Source organism: Homo sapiens, chromosome 8 (assembly GCF_000001405.40).
Source record: "Homo sapiens chromosome 8, GRCh38.p14 Primary Assembly".
NCBI lineage: Eukaryota > Metazoa > Chordata > Mammalia > Primates > Hominidae > Homo > Homo sapiens.
Window position 1 is genome coordinate 17,192,726 of NC_000008.11, and position 24,103 is coordinate 17,216,828.

Genomic DNA, 24,103 nt, shown 5'->3' on the forward strand with positions numbered 1-24,103 from the left:
ACGTTTTCTTTTACTGGTTTCATAATTTGAGGTCTTAGATTTAAGTCTTTAATCCATTTTGATTTTTGCGTATGGCAAGAGATATGTGTCTCATTTCATTCTTCTGCATATGGATATCTAGTTTCCCCAGCAGCACTTACTGAAGAGACTGCCCTTTCCCCAGTGTATGTTCTTGGCATCTGTGTTGAAAATGAGTTTACTGTAGATGTAAGGATTTGTTTCTGGGCTCTCTGTTCTTTTCCATTGGTCTATGTATGCCAGTACCATGCTATTTTGGTTACTGTGTACGAATGCTAGTCTTACGCCAGTACCGTGCTATTTAGGTTACTCCCCTACACTAAACTCTGTAGTATAATTTGAAGTCAGGTAATGTGAGTCTTCCAGTTTTGTTCTTTTTACTCAGGATAGTTTTGGCTATTCTGGGTCTTTTGTGATTCCATATACATTTTAGTATTTGTCCTCCTTGGGAAGGCTTTCCAGGTTAGGTGTTGTGATCTAAGCTGCATCTGCATTAGGAGATACCCCAATCCCAGTAATACTGTGGTTCTTACAGACTGGTAGATGTGTACTGCCTTGGTGGTCTTGGATAAGATTTGGAAGAATTCTCTGGATTACCAGGCAGCGACTCTTGTTCTTCTGCCTTATATTCTTCTAAACAAACAGAGCCTCTCTCTCTCTCTGCTGAGCTGCCGGGAGCTGGTGGAGGGGTGACATGGCACCTCTGTGGCCAACACCACTGGGACTGTGCTCAGTCAGACCCGAAGTCAGGATAGCATTGGGTCTCGCCCAAGGCCCATTATGTCCACTGCCTGCCTCCCCCATCTGCGTTTGCTCAAGGCTGAAGGGCTCTGCAGTCAGTAGGTAGCAAAGTCAGCCAGGCTTGGGTCCTTCCCTTCAGGGTAGAGAGTTTGCTCCGGCCCTGGCCGGGTTCAGAGATGCCATCACAGATCCAAAGACTGCAGTCAAAAACCTTTTAGTGTTTTTTGGTATTCAGAGTGTACCTGTTCCCATTTTTTAAATGTAATAGTCCATCAGTGGCTTATTAGCATTTTTTTTATTATACTTTAAGTTCTGGGGTACATGTCCAGAACGTGGAGGTTTGTTACATAGGTATACACGTGCCATGGTGATTTGCTGCACCCATCAACCCCATCATCTACATTAGGTATTTATCCTAGTGCTGTCCCTCCCCTAGATCCCCACCCCACGACAGGCCCTGGTGTGTGATGTTCCTTCCTGTGTCCATGTGTTCTCACTGTTCCACTCCCACTTATGAGTGAGAACGTGCAGTGTTTGGTTTTCTGTTCTTGTATTAGTTTGCTGAGAATGATGGTTTCCAGCTTCATCCACGTCCCTGCAAAGGACATGAACTCATCCTTTTTTATGGCTTCATAGTATTCCGTGGTATGTATGTGCCACATGTTCTTTATCCAGTCTATCATTGATGGGCATTTGGGTTGGTTCCAAGCCTTCGCTATTGTGAACAGTGCCGCAATAAACATATGTGTGCCTCTGTCTTTATAGTAGATTCTTTCACTGACATATCACTTTTAAAGTTTTTTAAATTGTAAAATATTTTATACATATTTTTGTATATATACAAAATATATAAATATATAAATATATATATATACAAAATATATAAGAACGTATATATAATGCACTACTTAAAGAATAATTAAGTGAAAACACCTAAGCAGCCACCGAGCCAGTATGTCAAACATTGTTCATATTTTCCATCTCTGCTGTGCATCTCCCAGCTGTTTCCCTTTATTCCTCAAAACTTAACAACTATCCTGCGTTTCTGTTATTCTTTCTTCTTTATAATTTTATCACATGTGCATGTATCTCTCAACAACAGTGTATATGTTGTTTAGCTTGCTGGTTTTAAAATTATATGAATGAATCATTGTATATATGTTCTATAAGATTGTTTTATGTTGTTCAGTATACTGAGGTTCTTTCCTTTGCTATACACAGCTATAGTTTATTAATTGTTAAATGCCGGTACTATTCCATTATTTGGATATATCATACTCCAATTTATCCATCATCCTTTTGATGTACATTTGAGTTGTGTTCTTTTTTTTGTATTTCAAACAATGATACTGAGATTTTTCTTGTACATGTCTCCTGGCGCACATTTATAGAAATTTATACAGGTGTATGTGTGTCTGTGTGGAAGATATGTATTTATATACATATTATTAAACAGAAGCCCAAATTTTCTTTTTCTCAAATATTTTAAAATTAGCTGGGCAAAATTGTCAGTATAAGAAGTAAAATAAATAATTAGACCCTTTAGAAGTGCTGGGGGAGATTTTATGTAAGGATTATCCCTAAGTTAAAACTCACTTAGGTAAGAAGATATGCTTAATGGATTTTCTACATTTGTTCTTAATGATCTAAATGAAAAATTTATTCATTGAGTTATGTTTATTCATTGGGCCATCTTATCTATCAATGTAACTCATATTTTGTTGGAACTCTACGGTTTATAAGCATTTTTATGTACTCTGTTCCTTTTGAGTTACACAAAAACCAGAGGAAGTAGGTACAGTTGTATTATGATGATGATTATTATACCCTTTTTCTAGATGCATAAATGAATGACCTGTGAGGTGAACAGACTTGCCCACGTTTCAAACTCTATTGTCTCTTTGAATGTACAATATACCATTAATATTTTATAAATACCCTTTTCCGGGTATGGTAGAGAAGACCAATATGTTATAATTTCTTTGAAAATACTGATTAAGATTTAAATGTATTCCACAGTTCCATCTCTCTTATGCAGAGAAAGATTTGTTGGAGAGAGAGCCAAGAGGAGAAGCCCATCAGGAAGTTCTTAGGCGAGCAGCCAAGGATCTTCCCATCTATACCAGGACCATGTCTGGAGGTAAATGTTGATAATGAGTGCTTTGCAATGGTATGCAAATAACATCATTAAGGTGACTGTAAGAAAGTGTGTTTATGTACTTGAAATGGTAAAACACTCATTTCAGAATGCTGTGTTATTTCTTGGATTGCTGTTAAATCTTTCCTGTGTGATTCCATAAAACAGAATGGAAACACGAATAGCACTGTGGCACAGAGATCGCAAGGAAATCAGAACTGACTTTAATCCTGTTCTGCCTACTTAGTTATGACTCAGTGAAGATGTGGGAACTGCTGAAATCTTGATTTATGGTAGTACTCATGTTTAAGGTTTTAATTGTAGACTTTCCTATTTATATTTAATTTAAGGCAGCAGTATCTGTAATGAATATAAAATGAATACTTTTACATGTATTTTTTCGTAAACTTAGAACAGTCATATAGGTGATGTAAAATTTCATTTAGGTATTGGTATAATTTTTTATCTATCTTTAAAATTTTCTTACAAATGCAATAAATTAACAAATCTCTTACTTGGGACATATTTTAAGGTAATTTGACAACTATCCACTTAAACAGTTGTCTTAAAACTGATGTATATGGACTAGTGATGCTTACCCACCAAGACTTGCCCAGAGCTTCTGTGACTTCAGACCTGTGCTGTCCATTATGGTAGCCGCTAGCCCCATGTGGCTGTTGAGCGCTTGAAGTATGGCCAGTTCAAACTGACATGTGCTCTAAGTATTAAATACACACTGGTTTCAAAGACTTAGTATGAAAAATATATATAAAATATCTCATTAATGAACAGACACAGTGGCTTGTGCCTATAATCCCAGCAACTCGGGAGCCTGAGGTGGAGGATTGCTTGAGCCCAGGAGTTAGAAGTTGCAGTGAGCTGTGGTTGCACCACTGCACTGCCGCCTGGGTGACAGAGTGAGACCCTGTCTCTAAAAAATAAAATAAATAAAAAATGTTTAAAAAAAAAAAAACAGGAAAAACTCATTAAGATTTGCGACTCTGTGTGGTGTTTCATACACGTGTAATCTCAGCACTTTGGGAGGCCGAGGCAGGTGGATCACCTGAGGTCAGGAGTTTGAGACCGGTGTGGCCAACATGGTGAAACCCCATCTCTACTAAAAATACAAAAAAATTAGCCTGGGCGTGGTGGCGCATGCCTGTAGTCCCAGCTACTCAGCTCAGGAGGCTGAGGTGGGAGAATTGCTTGAACTCAGGAGGCAGAGGCTACAGTGAGCTGAGATGACACCAGTGCACTCCAGCCTAGGTGACAGTGAGATTTCGTCTCAGAAAAAAAAAAAAAGAGGTTTTTATATTACTTATATTTGTTTCTGACTCACTTTAGAATCATAATTGAATCTTAACTATAAGTCTCACACATAATGTTTTCCTGGTTAATATTGTGACCTTAGTTTTACCCTACAAAGACAGAGATGTGCTTATATATGTTTAGGTATATTTACCCTGTAAGGCTAAACAAACACTGCAGAAATTTAAGCCCCCTAGAAATAAATCATTGCTGAGTTTCCAAAGCTAGTTAGTGACAGTAAAAGGTGCAAAAACCTGGTGTCCTTATTCCTAGTTCAGTTTAAAACTTTTTTTGATAAATAACAGGGTACAAGAAATAAATTGGTTTAATTGAGGGAGACATTCTATTTATTTTGATTAACATGGACATATTTGTACCCTTTGTGAGCCTTATTATAACTACTGACAATTGAAAAAGCATCAGAAAAATTTCCTTAGGAGGTTCTCTCTTCTGGTTAAACCTCCAGAGAACTGTGGCTGTAGGCAAGTCATTCCATTTTTGTATTTAAACAGCATCAAATATCTTATTTTTTTACCATATTTAAATTTCATATGCTTTTTAAAATTTAAATTTGGAGAGATGATAAAAGCCATTTAATTGTATTTTCAATTCAGTGTTAACTCTAAGACTAAGTGGAGCTTTTTGTCCCTAGCCATCCGATACTGTGACAGATGCCAACTTATAAAACCAGATCGCTGCCATCACTGCTCCGTCTGTGATAAGTAAGAGAACCTTTAACTTCTAAAATATCTACATGCTGGTGGTCTTTTTCTTCATTATGTTTCTTTTCTCACTGTTTTCCTGATTATCTTCTCCATATTCTCGCTTCTCAGCCCTTGATTTAGGAAATGGAGTTGGTATAACCCGCTGGCATTCATACCAGTGAGGCCTAAGGCCACAGTCAAGTGTCAATTTGCCCCCAGATTCACGGTGCCCTGAAGTATGTGATTTTTAGCAGTTCTGACTTGGCTGGTTCAATTTAGGAAATACTTCTATGAGTGTTTTCCATTTTTATAAAGAGAACTCAGTTGACTTCAGGACAGTCAGACGTTGTTATATATTTAATATACTCCAAGGACAGTATGACTTGGCATAAGGATTGATATTGAAGGGGAAGTTTTATCCAGACTTTCCGTAAATCCGTTGCAGTTTTGTTCTTTCTTTAGCCTAAGATAGTTGTATATTAATACATTATATTGTTTTTAGGAAATGAGTTGCTTTGCATCTTAAGCATGTATATTTTGAATTCAAGTTATATTATTATAAGAATTGGCTATAGGGTTTATTTTAGATGAGAACTTCTGCTATTATCCAATTTTTAGATAAGTAAATAATTTTGCAATATTTTACTTGCCGCAGCTGTTTGAACTAACCATAATTTATATTTTTATAATTTAATATGATTAAAATTTCATGGGGTATTAGGTTTTGTGTTCTGCTTTGTTTTTTAGATGTATTTTGAAGATGGATCATCATTGTCCATGGTGAGTTGGCTGTATATTTAAACAAGTTTGTGTCCCTTGTAAATGTTAATAAATTAAATCACTTATCCATGTAAATCTTTTCACACATGAAATATTACTTGAGTTGACATAGCAGGAACTTTTGGATTTAGTTTCTAATATTTGTTTAACTTAAAAGAGCCTTTATTTAGGGGAGTTTCCATGAAATACTTTTAAAACCAGTAGGTTAACAACCTAAAAGTTAATATCGCATGTTAGCTCAGAACAAAGGATTTTGTTTGTATGCATGTGCATGAACAGAGATTCCAGAATACTTCACAGAAATACACACAAAGATGTACAAGTAAATTATACATAGTACCTCACTGGAAGGTTTTTATAAAGAATTAAGTCATCAAAAGCTTTTTAACAATTTATTTTACACAGAATTTGACATTAAGGAGTAGAATACAACTACACAGATATACAAATGCACACATAAATTTAAACAAGATTTTCCACATAGAATTCATTAATATTTGCTAATATTTCTCAGTCACGAAATCAGGTAATTTAACAGAGGATTATTTGAAAGATCTGATTAGTAAGGTTAATTTTCCTTCCTTTTCCTATAATTTTTCATCTCAGTGTAGGCATATCTCTGACAGTCATGCCCAGGTTGCTGGCCAGGTTGGATTTGGGCGTGAGTAATGCTTATTCTTCAAGCTTTCTTTCAGGGATGGCTCTACAGAAAGGTAGACATGCCCACAGGTCCACAGTAGGTATAGGGTGAAATATATGTAGGGAATGGTTTTCTTAGCAGCAGGAAAGATTCCCAGGGGAATGTAGGATTATGGTATCCTGTATCTTTCACCAGTATACCTCTTTCTTTTCTCCACCTCGATTTTCTCCTTTAAAGCGTTCAGGCTAGTCAACCCATACAAGAATGGCACTCTTCTTAAAGGTCTCAATAAATAACGCCCCCTTCGTACTAATTGATACTTGCACTCATTCTTTTGCCCCCCTGCCCCCAGTTTTCTTTTCTGGTTTTTTTTACAACAAGTGTTCCCTCTCCCCCAGTGTCTTTAATAAGACTTCTTCTTCTTCTTCTTCTTCTTCTTCTTCTTCTTCTTCTTCTTCTTCGTCTTCGTCTTCGTCTTCTGTCTTCGTCTTCTGTCTTCGTCTTCGTCTTCTTCGTCTTTGTCTTCTTCTTCTTCTTTCTTCTTCTTTATTCTTTCTTCTTCTTCTTCTTCCTTTCTTCTTCTTCTCCTCCTCCTCCTCCCTCCTCCCTCCTCCCTCCTTCTTCTTCTTCTTTTCTTCTTTCTCCTTCTTCCTTCTTTCTTCTTCCTTCTTTCTTCTTTTTCCTTCTTCGTCCTTCTTCTTTCTTCTTCTTTTTTTTTTTTTTTGAGACAGAGTCTCGCTCTGTCGCCCAGGCTGGAGTGCGGTAGCGTGATCTCAGCTCACTGCAACCTCTGCCTCCCGGGTTCAAGCGATTCTCCTGCCTCAGCCTCCTGAGTAGCCAGACTACAGGCGCCTGTAACCTCACCTGGCTAATTTTTGTACTTTTAGTAGAGTCGGTTTCACCATATTGGCCAGGCTGGTCTCGAACTCTTGACCTTGTGATCCGCCCGCCTTGGCCTCCCAAAGTGCTGGGATTACAGGCGCGAGCCACCATGCCTGGCCAACGTCTTCTTAATTCTCCTTACATTCATTTGTTGACTTCCCCTGCAGCTGCTGTCAGTGCCCCACCTGTATCCCCATGACCCACCTGCTGAATTCATGGCATCTGGTGAACATCTCCCGTACCTGCTGGCAGCTCCCCATTCAGGCACCTGTGTTTCTTTTCTTCTCTGCCTGAGGGGGTCTCTTCTACCTGGGTAGTTTCGTTCAGCTCACAAGCCAGGCAGTCCAGAAGTGCCAAGGCATTCATACCTCCAGGGGCAACCCTCAACCAGTGACAGCCTGGCCGGTAAAAAATGCTTTATCCTTCCTGTCTCAAATGAACTGCATCCAAGTTCTTGTCTCAGAGTCTGCTTTGGGGTAAACCCATGTTAAGCACCCTCCTTTCTGGATAACTGTATACTCCAGATATATTCAGCAGAGTGGTAGTCATCATAGGCATAGTGTTGATTTTGATTTGTCTGACCTTAATAAGGGATTGTGATGACAAGGAATGGAGAGGTGGAAAAAAATCAGGTCAGTACATACCTATAAAGCTTCCCATGCCCTTGCTGTACTCACAAAATTACAAAAAGAGAAAATAATAATTTATCATTATAGTAATTTTGCTAAATCAACAGTTAATTTGGCCTCATGAGATACTTACAGTCTGATAGCCTTTACAGTTTTCACAGATTCTGTTAAATAAGTGAAGGAGAACAACAGAAATGAGACCCTAGAATTTTTAAAAATAGGTTCCATGGCATGCCTACACACCACCTGCTGTTACTCCACCCTTAGGTGGCAGTGTGGGAAGGTGAATGAACTGACTGCGGTACCTTTTAACCTGTGTCGTTGTTCACTTCCCCATCACTTCCCTTGCGGCATCCACTGTCTCCACCACTGTCCTAGCTCTGAGTACTCCCTTGCAGAAAGCAGCAGCCATGTTGACTTGTGAAGGATTTGATGCCAAGGGTCTGTTACTCACTTGGTGCCAGCTGAATGGAGCAGCCATTGTATTTAATTTTTTAATTTCAAATTAAAGTTTTAAATAAAAAAGTCTATAGGTAATAACATGCTTTTGGTTCCAAATTCAAAAATAAAACAGGTAGCCATGTTCTTCCCAGTCCCTCTCCCCACCTTCTTCCACTATGCACAGAGAACCAGGATTGTTAACGTCATGGCACTTTTCAGATCTCAATGTATGTGTGCATAGCCTATAAACCCCCTTGTTATTTATTTATTTATTTTTAGTACAAGTGACTACACTATTGATTGAATCTGTTTCTTTTTGTTTTCTTCACTTAATGTATCCTGGAAATGTTTCCGTATGAATATATAAAAAATCTTTTTCTACAGGCTTTGTGTGAATGTATTCATCTAATGGCAGTCACTTATAGGACTTTTAGGATGTTTTCAGACCCAGGGGCAGCCTTTTCTCTCTCTCTCTCTTTTTTTTTTTTTTTTTTTTTTTTTTTTTTAGATGGAGTCTAGCTCTGTAACCTGGGCTAGAGTGTGGTGGTGCGATCTTGGCTCACTGCAAGCTCCGCCTCCTGGGTTCATGCCATTCTCCTGCCTCAGCCTCCCAAGTAGCTGGGACTATAGGCGCCCACCACTACGCCTCACGGTTTTTGGTTTTTTTTTTTTTTGTATTTTTGGGTTTCACGGTGTTAGCCAGGATGGTCTCGATCTCCTGACCTTGTGATCCACCCGCCTCAGCCTCCCAAAGTGGTAGGATTACAGGCATGAGCCAACGCGCCCGGCCAGGGCAGCTTTTTTATACAGGTATTTTAAACAGGTATTTTGAACCTTCATATCTGTCAACTTTGAATATTTGAAACATTGGATCAACAATACCTCTCTATTTGTCAGTGATTTCTCAATCTCTGCTCTGGCCACTTAAGATTACCCACCAGAATTCTGGGGATCAATCTCATACTTGTGTTTTAACTAAAACAGATTCCGTAGTATTTGCTTTATGGGATTTTCTATCAAAGTATTTTTTTCCTTTAGTATAAGATTTTAGTTAATTACTTCATATTAATAATACTTTCACATGCTTGCCAAAGGTTAAGTAACACAAATAAAAACAAATTATTTGAGCTTCAGTTTATTGAGTGCCGGTTATGTTCTAGAGGCCATACACATAATCTGTAATACTTTTAACAGCGACAGAAGTAGAAATTGTTTGTCTCATTTTATTTTATCTTATTTTTTTGAGACGGAGTTGCCTAGGCTGGAGTGCAGTGGCACGATCTTGGCTCACTACAACCTCCACCTCCTGGGTATTTGTCTCATTTTACAGGGGAAAAAAATGAGTCTCAGAAAAGAGAAAGAGAGGGCTCAAAGTCACATAGGAAATTTTTTTTTACTTCAAAGGCCACACTCCTTCCAATGTATTATGTTCTTTTTCAAATTTAAAGTCAGAAAGCAATTGCCCAGAAACAGGGCCAACAGCTGTGTTTTACACTGAACTTAAACAACATAAGAAGAATATTTTCCTAGAACGTGTTTTGTTTCTCCATATGAAATCATTCCTTTTCTAGATGGAGAAATAGATTCAGAATAAGTCTTCTTCCTTTTATATTGAGTCTATAAAGCAATAGGCAGTTAAAATGTCTAGCCAAAAGCTGTCTATTGTGAAGACAGTAAGGTATTATTCAAAATAAATGTCACTATATTTCTTCTAGTTATATATATATATACACACACACACACACACACATATACATGCACATACATACACACACACATACTCTATGTATATACATATTAAACTCTAAAATATATGGTCTTCATTTACTGACCTCCTTTGTCCCTAGCTCTAGCATGGCAAATTTTACCATCCCCTCAAGCAAAGCTAAATTAGTTGTTACAAAATCTGTGATCAAAATCATTTTATAAAAATACTCTTTATTATTTAATTCAAGAGCTGCTGCTTATATTCCTTCAGGAAGAGAAACAATCTTTTCTATCCCTTCCAATTTCTTCCTAGTCCACAAGTCATTATTTACACCCATGTTGTCCAAAGTCTTTTTTTTTTTTTTTTGAGATGGAATTTCACTGTCACCCAGGCTGGAGTGCAGTGGTGAAATCTTGGCTCACTGCAGCCTCTGCCTCCCGGGTTCAAGCAGTTCTTCTACCACAGCCTCCCGAGTAGCTGGGATTACAGACGTGCACCACCATGCCAAGATAATTTTTGTATTTTTATTTTACTTTATTAATTAACTTTTGAGATGGAGTTTTGCTCTTGTCGCCCAGGCTGGAGTGCAGTGGTGCAATCTCAGCCTCCTGGGTTCAAGTGCTTCTCCTGCCTCTGCCTCCCGAGTAGCTGGAACTACAGCCATGTGCCACCATGCCCGGCTAATTTTTTGTATTTTTAGTAGAGACGGGTTTTCACCAAGACCATGCCAGGCTGGTCTTGAACTGCTGACCTCAGGCGATCTGCCTGCCTCGGCCCCCTAAAGTGCTGGGATTACAGGCGTCAGCCACCACGCCCACCCATATTGTCCAAAGTTTTAAAGCACCCAGCTTTTGCCTACCCATTCTTTCCCCTTGAAACCAACATAAGTAAGCAAAGGGAATACCCTGTATCCTTTTGAGACAGAATACAGTTAGATTAGGCTGTTTCCAGTATTATTTCCTGCCATGATTCCATTCAAACACCATAAAAGGCAACCTCAGCAACAGGCTTGCATCCCCCCACTGGAACCTCTAGAGATGCAGATGTAACTGTTTCCATACAATGTGCACGCACAATTTGTGGCTTCTTTTTTTTCTTTTTTTTTTTTTTTTTGAGAGGAAGTCTCCCTTTGTTGCCAGGCTGGAGTGCAGTGGCGCAATCTCAGCTCACTGCACCCTCCACCTCCCGGATTCAAGCGATTGTCCTGCCTCGGCCTCCCGAGTATCTGGGACTACAGGCGTGTACTACCACGCCCAGCTAATTTTTGTATTTTTAGTAGAGACAGGGTTTCACCATGTTGGCCAGGATGGCCTTGATCTCTTGACCTTGTGGTCTGCCTGCCTCGGCCACCCAAAGTGCTGGGATTACAGGTGTGAGCCACCACGCCCAGCCAACTTGTGGCTTCTTTATAAATTATTTGCCCATATGTAAGACCTTTAAGTTTACAAATTACTAAATCTAATGCTATTCCCTTTACCTTATATTTTTTGAGGGAGATGATGTAAACATTTTTTTCACATGAACATGGTTTCATTTTTACAAATCTAGAAAGAAAAGTGTTTCATCTTAGTAGCTAAGTCAATGGAGAGTGAGATGATTTTTACCTACGTTAGAAGGGGAACAAGAACGTTTGAGAAAAGGAAACAATATGTGTATGTTCTGTGCAATAGGCTGAATACTAGAAAAGGAAACCTGTATGTTCTATTTAATAGGTTCGTTATACCGGTTAACCAAGAAGTTACTCAACCCATGAAGGTATTAGCCAATTCCACATGGGTGATGTATCACATTGACACAAGGTCATCCAGTAGTGCCCTTGTCTTTATGAAAAGGAAATCAAAAACTTTGATAGAAAGAGAGTGAGCCTATAAGCCTATGAGTGGGAGCTAAATGATGAGAACACATGGACACAGAGGAGGGAACAACACACACTGGGGCCTTTTGGAGGGAGGAGGGTGGGAGGAGGAAGAAGGCTAAGCAAAACAACTAATGGATACTAGGCTTAATACCTGGGTGATGAAATAATCTATACAACAGACCCCCACAACTCACGTTTACCTGTCTAACAAACCTGCACTTGTATCCCAAAAATTAAAGTAAAATAAAATATAAATAAATAATTTTTTAAAAAAGAAAAATCTTAACAAAAAGAAAGTGAGCCTATAAAAATGAATTGTATTTGTACTTAGGTTTATTGATACAATAGTTTGATTTGTCCCCCCTCAGATAACGACTTTGGAGTGAGAACTGAGATTTATAAATTTCCATATTTGGAATTATAGCATATTTAGAGCCGACTTTTGGAAATGACCTCAGAGTGTTTTACTTACAGATAAAGAAAATGAAATTCTAATCGATGATTTCACTTCCTCAGGGCCACATCATTACTTAGTGTCAAATGGGCCTTCTGACCCAGCTGTCTAACTGCCAGGCCTACTTCTTTTCTTAAAGCTCCCATTTAATATGCTTTGACAGTCCGCTTGCTTCAATGAAGGCATGCAAAGAGTAATTTGTGAAGATATTCCATCTAATTTGGGAATACTTGAAAAATTGTAACTTAATTAATCATAGTTGGATATCAAACCCAAAGATGGCGTAGAGGAAGGGTTTAGTAAATTCACCTAAGCTGCCTGGCCTGATACGGTTTCTCGCAGGCTCTGTGCTTTGAGGGATGTGCATACTTGCGTAATTTGAGATGACATGCAGTTACATTGTTTGTGATTGACTAAAGCAATATTAAATATCATGTTTTAAAAATAGAAGCAGATTTTTTAGTGAAATGGATTTTTACATGATTGTATGCATAAAGAAATCTTATGAGTTATATTTAAAGAAATGCCAATAAATTAGAAGTGAGAGGAAGCTAAACACTTGCTTGAGCATATGCACATGTAGGTTGAAGATGTAAAACTCACTGGAAATGTTTTTGTTTTGTTAACAGGGTGAACAATTGTGTTGGATTTTCAAATTATAAGTTCTTTCTCCTTTTCTTGGCTTATTCTCTGCTCTACTGCCTTTTTATTGCGGCAACAGATTTACAGTATTTTATCAAATTTTGGACAGTAAGTCATTAACTTGGTAACTCTTTTTTTGGTATACAATAATAGATAATATAGGCTTTTCAGAACAGAATTATTTCCGACACTGACTTTATAGACCAGAGCTCATTGACATGCAGTCAGTCCTCATTATTCGCAGATTCTTTATTTGTTAATTCAGTAAGATGTAATTGTAACCCCCACATCGATACTGACAGCTTTCGTCATCTGCAGACATGTGCAGAGTGGCAAAAACATTGAGTTGCCCCCATGCCCATTCCCAGTTGAGGTTGAACAAGACGATGCTTTTGCCTTCTTGCTTCAGCTCTCATACTATAAACAAGTGTGCTTTCCACAGTCTATTTAGTGCCATGCTTTTTTCCATTTTTGTGCTTTTTGTTGGTGATTTTGCTGTCAAAAAATCTTAAAGTGTAGTGCTGAAGTGTGGTCTAATGTTTCTAAACAAAAGAGAACCGATGTGTGTTATGGAGAAAATAGGTGTATTAGATAAGCTTGATTCAGGCATGAGTTATAGTACTGTTAGCTATGAGTTCTATATTAATAAATCAATAATGTATATTAAATAAGGTGCGTTTAAGTAGAAACACACATAAAACAAGGTTACACACTGATCAGTTGTCAAAGATGTTGTGACCAGAGGTTCATAGAAACCTAACCCTGTATCTTCCCTAGGAGCAGTTTTTCAGTGTTCACAAGTTCAGTGTTTGTGGAAAGTTTATAAAAAATAAGTACTGCAAATAACGAGAATTGATGACTATATAAGATTTTTTTCAGGATTTAAAAATAGAAGTATTTTCTTTATGTGTAAGAAGATTATTTTTTAAACTATCATGCCTATAATGTCCTTATGCCTATAATATCCTGAATTTTTATTCGGTATTTCTTGATTATGCTTTATACACTATATATTTTAAATGTAGGCAAAAAGAAATTAAAATTGAGGATTTAAGATATCCACAGGTCCTCCTTGTGAACACCAAATGACAGTAAAAAAGCAATTTATCTGCTGCCAGGATTGATGTATTATTTTCATTAAATTATCTTTATTATGGTAAGAATTTCTAAATTGCTAGATCACTTATGTGAGATTTGAACCAAATTTAATACCAAAGAGTTATTGAATGCCTACTGTGTGCCAATTCTATTGCTAAGCATAGAAAGACATGAGTGAAGAGACCTGCTGCTAACATTCAAGGATTCTTTCAGTGTCCAGCTTGAAAAATGAACCGTAATGAATGTCTGGGAGAGCATTACCTCACTGCTCCTCCTTCCTGTGGATGATTTTAGTTTCAAACCACAAACATATATGAAAAGGAATGACCAGAATTTTCGCTGTCAAAAAAACCTGCTGCTGTTGAAAACTGTCAGTGAGGTCTTGTGACCGGTGTCATTTGGTCAGGGACGACAGGGTATTGGAATCTCAGGACCATTTATCAGAAGAGACACCTCGTGGCAGCCATGGTGCTTCGATAGGTGTCCATAGCCCCAAGCCCTCCATTCTAGAGCCATTCCAGGTCTCTTTGGATTTATAAACAATGAGAGAATGAGAGTCTAACTGGTTTTCTTTGAGATGGACTGTTTCAGCCCATGGATATTAACATTTATTTTAGACAGGTGTTATGCACTGGTGTTGATCTTTTCTGTGGTGCTATTATTTAAGATAGCTTGAAGCATTATTGTGAATGTGTTGTTATATGTATTCATTTAGTTGATGCTGTTGTTTGTAGTAACATAAAACATCAATAAGGATAGTAGCCAAATTGTGCCAGTTAGCCTTCATTTTCTGGCATTATAATGAAACTATTTAAACGTTTGTGATTCTGTAGTATGTTAACAAAACATACTCCGTTAATAAATTTAAAACTACATTTTATAGTTCCATTTATCTTGCTTCGTATTACAGTTTATACATATACTACCATAAATTTTCTATGATTTGGTTATGAAAAACACAGTTTATATTCCAAATTTTAATATCATTTTCATATATATTCATATTCTCGTAAACTTTTAACCTGATGAAATATATGCATATTTTTCCTAAAGTTTTAACATAAAGCCACATTTTTTTATATTAAATTTAAGAAAAATTTTAAGCAAAAAAAAAAATCTTACTAATTTACTTATAAAAGTAGGGGAATACATATCCCTTTGACAAAACATGTTATTTTCTTCCTTTCTTTATAGAATGGCCTACCTGATACTCAAGCCAAGTTCCATATTATGTTTTTATTCTTTGCTGCAGCTATGTTTTCTGTCAGCTTGTCTTCTCTGTTTGGCTATCATTGTTGGCTAGTCAGCAAAAATAAATCTACATTAGGTGAGTATCCAATTATTGTAGTTGACAGAACTTTAAATACGTATACCAACATTCATTGACAGTTGCTATGTGATTAAATGCCAACTTGCCCTGAAGTGGTGGGAAAAGTCATTCTTATTTTCCTCATTGTTTTTTTGATATGTCGCTTAGACACATACAGGTTTGCTCATTCCATATATTTATTGATTGTCTCATATATATGTATATATATATGAGACTATATATATATCTATATATAGATATATAGATATAGTGGCATATAGATATATAGATATAGTGGTGAGCAGGGGCAAAACAGTCTAATGAGGGGCACTAGGAATATTTTAGAAACACTCCATGTGGCTGAAGCATAGAAAGCTAAAGATTGAGAAATACATTAATGAGGTTGGAGAGGTAAGCAAGGACTAAGCTATGTAGAGTTTCTAGCTCAAGGATAGGAGTTTGGGAATGCAACCAGGACCACACATGCTGATGATCATAAAGGACACTCCAAGCTGTGAGCTTCAGTTATTATAATATGCAATGAGGATTAATTACAGTGGGTAGTCAATTAGTGTTCATTTTCAGTATTTTGAAATGAAACATTATGGAATTCTCAAATGAAATCATTACACCAAATACTATTAGGGTGAAAATACTGATAAAGTAATTTCTAAGCCCAGGAATTTTATTTCAAATTATGTGTTAGGCAGTTAAATTGTAATTCATCAAAAGCAAATTTATTGTTTCTAGAGGTTTTTAACTTCTGGAAACCTCTAGATTTAACTTGTAGCACTGAAAGGACTTCCCCTGGATAATATGATCCTTTGAAATGTTTTAGAAAAAGCTATGTATCCTAGGATGAAGAATGCTAAGGATCTTGCAAATGACCACATTTTTTCATAGTGCCTAACTCTGCTGGTTAGATTTTTCTTTTTAATGGAGAAAAATCATTATACCTCCATGTTCATATTCCAAAAACAACATTTTACATTTTGTATTTCAGCATGATTCAAGAAGAAAATGTAGTATTTTTGAAGGAATGTTGATGACCTTATTCAAGTCTCAGTCTGTCGTGTGTTTGTTGTGTGACCTTAGGCAAGTCCCAGAGCCTCTCTGAACCAGCTTCGATAGGCAGAATGAGCATCACCAGATGCAATACATGGTTCTGGACTGGATCCCGGTTTGGACAAACTAGTTTAAAAGTAGATTTTATAGTCAGCTGGAAAAATTTTATTAGATGAGAACCAATTTCAACGAAATTGGAAAATACTTAGCCAGGCATGGTGGCATGACACCTGTTGCTCCAGGAGGGTGAGGCAGAAGAATTGCTTGAGCCTGGGAATTCGAGGCTACAGTGAGCTATGATCATACCACTGTACTCCACTCTGGGCAACAGAGTGAAACCCTGACTCAAAAATAAACAAATGGATTTACTTAAAAACAAAGGTTGTAGAATGTATGTAAAAGATAGTCTGATTGTGGTTTTCTTAAAAAATACACGTGTAGATTTGTAGATCTATGTTTATGGATCCATCCATTTATCTATCTATTGATCAAAAGATCCAGAAGATGCAGTTTTAGTTTATTTGCTAGTTTGTATTTTCTGATTTTCTACAATGCACATGTACTATTATAATAAAAAGGCATATTTTAAAATTAAAATAGGTATATCTTATGATATTTTAAAACAGAATGGACACCCTATATTTCAGGGCTGTTGACAGGCACATAAGCCCTCACAGTCAGCTAGCCATTGATTTTCAGAGTTTCTTCATTTACTTCAATTATTGATAAATATTCAGGATTGCTAGTAAATATGTTCTTTACTCATGTGATTCCTTTACCATCTTTTTTTAGAGGCATTCAGAAGTCCAGTATTTCGACATGGAACAGATAAGAATGGATTCAGCTTGGGTTTCAGTAAAAACATGCGACAAGTTTTTGGTGATGAGAAGAAGTACTGGTTGCTACCCATTTTTTCAAGGTACTTCTTTGTTAAAATTTTCAGGCTTTAAACTAATGAAAATAATACAGCAAAAGATAGTTTCAGGAAAAGCCTCTAGTTCCATAGGCTTGTAATTCTGTGTAGGAACTCTTATTTTTAAAAAATATTATTCTATGATTCACCATAATATCAGTGTGGAAGTCAGTTAATTCATCATCTTCCTGAACACTATGTTGAGCTCAATGTCTAATACACATTTTTTTTGCCTAGAGTATAGCATGTTCTGCTCTCGGACATCAGCATTTTGGCAGGGTTTCACTCCGTTGTCTTTTGTATGGTTCAGTTCTAAATTTTTATTTTAATTCTAGTCTAGGTGATGGCTGCTCCTTTCCAACTTGCCTTGTTAACCAGGATCCTGAACAAGCATCTACTCCTGCAGGGCTGAATTCCACAGCTAAAAAGTAATCTCATATTTTTTTTCATTTTACTTTCAAATAAGATATTTTACCATATTGTGTCTTTTGGTTATATGTTCCTTTGAAAAAAAATGAAGACCATAAGAAAATTTACTGCAATGGTTTCCACTTGAAATGAGGGAAAAAAGAAAGTATGATTGAGGATACATTGGAAGCTTCAATTATACTTGTAAAATGGTGTTATTAATCTAAGTGTGAGTAAAAAGGTGTTAATTGTCTATACATTTTGGTTGACTGAAATATTTTTTAAATGTAGTGCTTAAAAGAAAAAAAAATGTAAGTCAAAATTAGCTACCCACTGCTCAGGTAGGCAGACAGGGTAAAATCGCCCCTGACCCACCATATCTTTCCTTTCTGTGATAACTGTTAGAGTAAAGAAACTTGAGGCTTTTGGAGATCAAATGGACCCCCAGACACCTTCTTGACAACTCCATTTTAATGTATATTATGGACTTAGTGCCCTTGGAAGACCTCTAAGGATTATCTGAGCCATTTCTGTGGAGAGAGAAGCCAGAGTCTTAGAAATTCATTGTCTGGAGACTTTTGCTCCAGCTTTAAGTTTGTTTTGATTCCAGACTATCAAGAATTTGAGGCTGGCCAGAGAAAGACCTGACATTTCATTCTGAACGTGCTACCAACTGGCAAAAGGAAAAGTTACTTAAACTTTTAAAATGCTATGTATGAATTTTCAGTGGTTTGAAACACCAGTTTTTATACCTTTGTGACAGATTTGAGTATAACCATTCCTCTGATTTTTCAATGAAAGCCAGTAGCAAAAGCATAACCATAATATCATTCTTCATTAAACGTTAGAGCTTTTCTTAGTTGCTGCAGTGCCACATACACAGTATCCACACCAACACTCCATATTGAACATTTCTTACTGATCACAGGACTTTTTCCTAGGGAGCCTGGAGTGACCCCATAAACCTCAAGGCAGTGTTCCTGGTAGCCATTCTAAAGTTCTTTTTGTTGTTGTTGTTTGTTTGTTTGTTTGTTTCCATTTTAGTTTTGAGACAGGGTCTCTCTTGTCACCCAGGCTGGAGTGCAGTGGAGTGATCATGGCTCACTGCAGCCATGACCGCCCAGGATCAAGCGATCCTCCTGCCTCTGCCCTTTTAAATTGGGAATTAAATGTAAAAGGAATTTATATTTAAAATCCTTTTAAATTGTCAAAAGAGATGAAAGGTATTTGTCACCCCATCCCTAGAGTGAGCTATGTACAGGCCAGACCCTACCAGTTAGTGAATGGGCCCAGTGTATATATTTCACAGGGACATTCATGGGCATCAGAGTTTTTTACTAGATCATGCCTTGTGCATTTGGGCTTGAAAATCCCACAGAGCTAAATGTTTATGGTTTTTCATATACCTCAATGCAGAAAAATCTAGTTTTAATAAATTATTCAGAATACGTTTCAAGCTTTTACAAAATTCAGTAGTAGTTTATAATACTTTTTTGCCCTTTGTGTTTTTTTTAATAATTTAAGAAATCATTTTGGTTTTAGAGATAATATTTCTCCTTCCACTAAGGGCACCATGAGATTTGGGAGAAATCTTAGTTCTGACACTGTTACCCAACTGGGTGATCTTGAAGAAGTTAAATAATCTTTTGAGGCCTCTGTTTCCTTTCCTTTGAATGTTGAGGTCAGATTTAGACAGCTAAAGTCTCTTTCTTCTGCGGAATTCTACTATCTCCCATGTTGAGCCCAGATAAAATTTTCGTGGCAAGTTCTGTTCTCTTCTTTACTCCAGAGTTGAATATCTTGCTGTCTACTTGACACACCCACTTGGACACCTAAAAATCATCTCCAACTAAACAGGTTCAGAGCAGAACTTTGAATTTGATTCCCAGCCATGTGTACCCTCATCACCACCCTAAACCAGAATCTCCTCCATGCTTCCATTATCAGTATTAGTGACCTCCATTCTCCCACGTGTTCATGCTAGAAACTGTGGGGTCATCCTGGATTCCTCTCTTTCAATTACTTTGTATTTACTCCATTTGCAAATCCTATCAGATGTCTCTTTAAAGTATATCTATAATCTGAATACTTTCTAACCACCTCCAAGGCAGCTTTCCTGGTCCTAGCCCTCATCCCTGCTCCCATGGATTACTTCAGTAGTTTTCTAACTGATGTAACATTTTTGCCCCACTCCAATCTATTTTCCCTTCAAAATATAAGTCAGATTGTGTCACTCTTCTGCTGAAAGCTCTATTAGTTTCCCATCTTACTCGGAATAAAAGCTAATGAATGTCTGTTCCATCACTTAACAAGACTGATCTGACCCCAGACAGTCATTCTTTTTTTTTTCTTTTTTTAATGGAGACAGGGTCTTCCTGTCTCTATTAAAGCAAGTTAGTAATGTCTCTGTTATAATAAAATGTCTCCATTAACAGCCCGTTGCCCAGGCCGGAGTGCAGTTTTGTGATCATAGCTCACTGCAGCCTCACACTCCTGGGCTCAAGCAGTCCTCTCACCTTGGCCTTCTGGATGTCATTCTTTTTTACTTTCCTTTCACTTACAATCCTCAGACACAGATCTTGCTGTTCCTCACATGGACCAAGCATGTTCCTTATGTAGTGCCTTGTCCTTGCTAATTCCCTTTCCTTACCATTCTTCCTCCAGATCTCAGTGAGCTGTGTCTTCTCTTTATTTATATTCTGTTCGGGCGTAACTTCAGAATAGAGGGAATCTTTGATAACCCTTTGTAAAATAGTAACTTTCTCCGCCTCTTCCTGTTACACTGATTTTTTTTTTCTTTTTTTTTCTTTTTTGAGACAGTCTCATTCTATCACCCCGTCTGGAGTGCAGTGACGCAGTCTCGGCTCACTGCAACCTCTGTCTCCCAGGTTAAAGCAATTCTATTGCCTCAGCCTCCCCAGTAGCTGGAATTACATGTACACCACAATGCCCGGCTAATTTTTGTATTTTTAGGAGAGATGGGGTATCACCATATTGGCCAGGCTGGTCTCGAACTTCCTGACCTCAAGTGATCCACCTGCCTCAGCTTCCCAAAGTGCTGGGATTACAGGCATGAGCCACTATGCCCAGCCTGATTTTTTTGATTGTTATAGCTCTTATTATCACCTGACTTATTTCATTCATATATGTATATATTGTTTATTTCTCTTCCTCCATAACAGTGAAATTTCCATAAGAACAAAGACTTTGTTTATTAAAGTGACAGGTGCTCAATAAACATTGTTCAGTGAATGGATTCTTGCCCTTTGCTAGAGTCCTGTTAGCAGTAATGAATCTTCAGAGTCCCTAAACCAGGATCCCAGGATCTGGTTAGTCTTCTGTACCCGTTATATGGTCCCTTTCTTGAAGAAGAATAAGAATTAAAGTAAGATTTTTTATATAATATATTTAAACCTGTGTGGAGATATGCTGTTTTCTGTTTTTTAAGATTTACCTCCAAAATTTTAGTAGGTAGTTGTTAAAGCTGCACAAAATTGAAATATTCTAAAATTTTAGATATGAGGTAATTAAGAAGAAAAAGCATACGCATATATCCTTTAAAAACATAATAGTTACTATATATAATTGAACTCAAATATGTGAAATTATTCTTGAAAGAGTTTTAAGTCGTTTTTTTCTTTTGAATACTGTTACAATTACTATTTCAGAACATTATAAAACATCACTAATAGTTTCTATGCCAATAATGTTTCCTAAGTGAAATATTTTTATGTATACTTTTTCATGCCATCCAATATGTTGATGTATGGCATTTCCACCTAAATTTTAAAGAAAATTCTTCTTAGAAGACTGCTCATTCCCCAGACTGAACATTGGGTTTGTAAGACCTGATAATTTCAGATGTTTTTTATATTCCTGCAAAATAGTTTGCTCAAAGTTGTTGTTTCAGTTTTACAGAAGAAGATAGAGAAAATTGTGTTCAAGACCAGTTAGGCCACTTTAGAAGCTGTAGGCCATTTTTTCCTCAACTTTGTCTTCCTACCATCACATTCATATTTTCTTCCATATCCACATATCACTTACAAAATTAATATTTTTCTGTATTTAAATTGGCACTTATGCTTTTTTTAAACCAAAGTTTATACCACTCTCATAAATGAGAAACTCGCGTAACTTTCTATAAATAGAATATAACTTTAAAAATAGGCCCGGTGTGGTGGCCTATGCATGTAATCCTAGCACTTTGGGAGGCTAAGGCAGGAGGATCACTTGAGACCAGGCATTTGTGATCAGGCTGGGCAACATAGAGAGTCCACTCTACAAAAAATAAAACAAAATAATTAGCTGAGGGTGGTGGTGTGGTCCCAGCTACTCGGGAGGCTGAAGGAGGAGGATTGATTTGAGCGAAGGAGGTTGAGGCCATGACTGCACCTCTGCACTCCAGCCTGGGCAATAGAGTGAGATTCTTCCTCAAAAATAAATACATACATAAAATTGATAATAAAATACTGTTATTAAGTTCTAAGTACCTGCTAAAGCCTGGGGCTGAAGACTATTCTCTGGAGATTTTCCAGTGTTAGAGATTATCATCTTATGGTAAGCAGAAGAAGGAAAAGAGACTGAAGATAGAACACTTTTCTCACCGCGAGTCAGTGCTATTTAATGTCTTATTCTTGTATTCCCCACGTTATTTTGGGTACCTCCTGCATCATCTTGCATTGCAAGTGGTTTTGGTTCCATACATTGAGAAACAATCAACTTTACTATCAAAAATTAGCTTATGATGATTTTGATGATTATTCAATTATTATTCAGTCTCGAAAACCATCAGTTTCCTGCAAAGCCATTGAGAGAGTCCCAGAGCCACCTTCTTACTGATTCTCAGTCTTGGACGGAGAGCAGCATAAACCCAGGAAAATGCAAAGCTGGTAAGGGTGTGCTTGTTTGGCTGTTTTTTGACATATTTTATTTTTAGAAGGTAAACGTGGTTAAAAAAAATCCATTATACTACCTACAGATGTTTTCTTAGTTTGGAGTCAGACTTCTATTCTAAATTCAGAATTATTTTCAAAGAACTATTTATGAGGTTCGTTAATAACCTGTTAGCAGCAGAAAATCATTTTGTGAAAGATGGATCTGCATTGCCTTTTTTCTGTTTAAAGAACCAAATCTTTATCACCATTCCTCAAATAAAATGATAGAAGTAAATTCAAAATATAAAGTATAAAAATGAAAAAACTACAATCAAATCAGATAGAAGATAAATATCTACTGAAAAGGACCTTAAATTATTCAGTTCTATCTTTTACTCCAAGATTTCTGTCCAATTTCAAAATGTCTGAGTAAAGTTACTGTGTACCATAAGTTCAGCTGCCTGCGATTTCTTCATATCCCACTCACATTCCTCTTGTTACTGTTGTTGATTTCAATCTTTTGTTTTCTTCAGTCAGTGTAGTTTGTTAGCAAGGAACAAGCAAGGCTCCGAAGTCAGACCTGATTTAAAAACCCTAATTTGGGCTCCTAGTAGGGTGTGATATGTGTCACGTTACCTAACATCTTTTAGACTTAGCTTTGTTCTTTTCAAAAGACTACCTATTTCTCAATATTGATAAGGAGTAGACAAAATAGGGTGATCATACATGCATGTGTGTGTATATATGTGTGTTGTCCACATAAAGGAGTTAAAGCCATACATCTGTGATTAAGGCGTTATTAGCCAGAAAATCTTCAGATTGACTACTAACCTTTTCTCCTTCGTTTCTAGTCTTTTCAAATAAACCAGTCAACGTTTTAAAGTGTAATGAACCAAAGTCAGGTAGTACGAGAGTTTGAAGAAACCTCTGGGATTTAGTGGTAGCGAAAAACAAATGGATGATCCTGAGTAAATATTCTAGTCATTATTTAATATATTATCAGTCATCTTCTCCTAAAATAGAAGCTTTCTTTAGCCTTATCTTTAAGAAATATATTTGCCTCCCAGAGGGTCCCATTATTTGACTATTCATAATTTGGTCACTCTCTTGACCTTCACACATGCCATTTCACTTTCTAATCTATGGCAAGGACTAGGCATTGCCTAAACAAAAGTTGATGACACTGATTTGTTCTTTGAATCCATCATTTTCGTTAGAGGCAGAGAAGTGATAAATAGTTGGGGGTCAATTGTTGAGACGTGGAAAAACAAAGAATTCCTCTTCATCCAGAAGGGATTCACATTTCATCTTACATAATTTATGTTAAAATAGCAGTGGTTTCTTGATTTTCACATGCTATTATAATTCTTCGGCATGTTCGATTAATTTTTTTGTTAGTTGGATGAAATGAAGAACTACTTAAAGTGTAAAGGATGATGTATAGGAAGGAAAAGAAGCAAGAAAAATGAGGTGAGAAAGTGCTCAAAGATTGGT

The 24,103-nt window shown here is 37.0% G+C and overlaps 1 protein-coding gene across 9 annotated transcripts in view; it reads left to right on the forward strand.

Moving 5' to 3' along the window:
• ZDHHC2 (zDHHC palmitoyltransferase 2) overlaps window positions 1-24,103 on the forward strand; it is a 68,318-nt gene that overhangs the window by 36,244 nt on the left and 7,971 nt on the right. For 8 of the 9 annotated variants that reach the window (XM_011544544.4, XM_011544545.4, NM_016353.5 and 5 more), the window contains 8 exons: window positions 2,779-2,899; window positions 4,857-4,926; window positions 5,656-5,688; window positions 12,930-13,050; window positions 15,235-15,367; window positions 17,207-17,333; window positions 17,663-17,755; window positions 22,512-22,624. In XM_011544544.4, the coding sequence (XP_011542846.1) occupies window positions 2,779-2,899; window positions 4,857-4,926; window positions 5,656-5,688; window positions 12,930-13,050; window positions 15,235-15,367; window positions 17,207-17,333; window positions 17,663-17,755; window positions 22,512-22,624 (811 nt within the window). Of the gene's footprint in view, window positions 1-2,778; window positions 2,900-4,856; window positions 4,927-5,655; window positions 5,689-12,929; window positions 13,051-15,234; window positions 15,368-17,206; window positions 17,334-17,662; window positions 17,756-22,511; window positions 22,625-24,103 lie in introns of those variants that run through there. The other variant, XM_011544549.4, reaches the window with a different exon arrangement.